Below are 1900 nucleotides of genomic sequence, written 5' to 3' on the forward strand. Positions count from 1 at the left end.
CCCTCAAATAGAATATGACAATGTTATAATTGAAACAAAAAAGTTTTTATCCTCTATGCCTTCCTTTCCATGGTAATTTTACATGTGTAAGATTTTAACTCTACCAATCAGGCAATTTTAAGTAACTGTTAAATTTGTACTGTGGACTAAAATATATATAACAAAATTATAAGAAGACTATCACACTGGCTAGATATACATTTTAAAAATATGAACAATTTTAGGTTACATATGATACTTTCATCTTGAATATTACATGAATTCTTATGGTACTTTTATAAGACATATTTGTGGAATTGATCTCATCTTATAATACTTATTTACATATTATTTTAGCTTCAAACTTGTACAAATAGCTATTTCAAATATCTATGGCTTATTTTATAAAGAGAGCATAATAAATTGGATTGAAAAAAAAATCTTTTAAGTTTATTCAGTTTCACCTTGGAAGTCCATACTGGATGTTTCTGGTGAAAATGATATTGAGAATGCTCAGTGGTTACCCAAATGGATCCAACTATGAGGTCATATTTACCTTCATGAATTCACCATTATCATGAGTTTGGTCCTGATGGCTTAGGATCTTGATCTCTTCAGTATCGCAGAGTGGATTGAAAATAAAGAAGCTAATTCATATTGACAAAAGGCATAATGCATCAACGTAAAACCCAGAATATCAACATATTAACTTAGAATCAATTTATTTTAAAAGTAAATAAAGAGCTGAATTGTCTATGAAACTGTCAGACACATTTTTCCCCTGAATACGTGGCATGCTAAAACACAATTACCAAAATGCTTTTTATTAAGTAAATTATTAGCAAAGGGAGTAATAGATATTGTTAAAGGGGTGACCTCTGTGATACTTATATGTCATGATTTAGATAGTTCAACTTTGTATCAGTGTCACATTGGAGAAGTATATTTCAATGAAAAACGAACATCAAAAACTTTTTTTTCTACTCAGGTCAGACTGGTAATGTGCTGACATCGTAACAAGGTTTGAGAGTAGCACATCTCACGCATGTGCATGAACACCCAATCATCATGCTCATGAACTACAAAACGATCAATCAAAAACATTTTTAAAAATTAAAATGGTTTCTTGCTTTAAGATTGTTATGCTAGGGGAAAATATAGCTTATAGCAATATTTCTGAAAACCTTTAAAAAGGCTCTGCTCATGCCTTCAGGCTTTTAGAGTCTAAAAAATTAGAAGATCAAGAGGTTTATGTCCTCCCCAGGGCAAAGAGTTCTGGGGTATAGAGTTCCCTGAGAAATAGTTTTAGTTCTTCTGCTACCACTGCATTTTATTATTAATGTGATGGTATTGATGTTGCCACTACTGCTGCTGCTGACGATGATGATGATGATGAAAATGATGCTGATGATGTTGATAATAATGCTGAAAAACATCCACCTTGGCTCTTGTTATCTGTCTGCCTCCTTTCCTATTTTTTTATGTATGTGTGTTGTTTTCACTCTATATATTTTCTTCCTATTCTTAAAATATATTTGTGTTGTTATCTCTCTACCAACTTTCCCTGTAATCATATATGTGAATACACACACAAACACACACACAAACATACAACACATACACACGCCTATGACTGAAGAGACTTAAGATTTTCTTTTTTCCATTTTCAGAAAACTCAGGGCCTGAAGATTTAAAATATTGCCATATTTCCACCATTGAGCAGAAGCACTTCCAGAATTCAAATCTTGACTATCTTTCTGTAAATGCGTGATTCTTAACTACTATAATATCGTGCCTCTTCAAAGTCCAAGAATAGCTTTATTTCATTAATATTTATCTATTGTTTTTACCAACTCAACTTTCTGACTTGCAGGCCATTAGCTTGAATAGATTAGGTTATCCAAACCCTCACTCTGATATA

The 1900-nt window shown here is 32.0% G+C and overlaps 1 non-coding gene across 1 annotated transcript; it reads right to left on the reverse strand.

The window, feature by feature from the left end:
* Positions 1-966: 966 nt before the first annotated feature.
* Positions 967-1070, reverse strand: LOC124900893 (small nucleolar RNA U13). Its single transcript, XR_007058535.1, has one exon. It is a non-coding gene; the product is annotated as a small nucleolar RNA U13 (small nucleolar RNA).
* Between the last annotated feature and the right edge of the window lie 830 nt (positions 1071-1900).

Source organism: Homo sapiens, chromosome 4, assembly GCF_000001405.40.
Source record: "Homo sapiens chromosome 4, GRCh38.p14 Primary Assembly".
Lineage (NCBI taxonomy): Eukaryota > Metazoa > Chordata > Mammalia > Primates > Hominidae > Homo > Homo sapiens.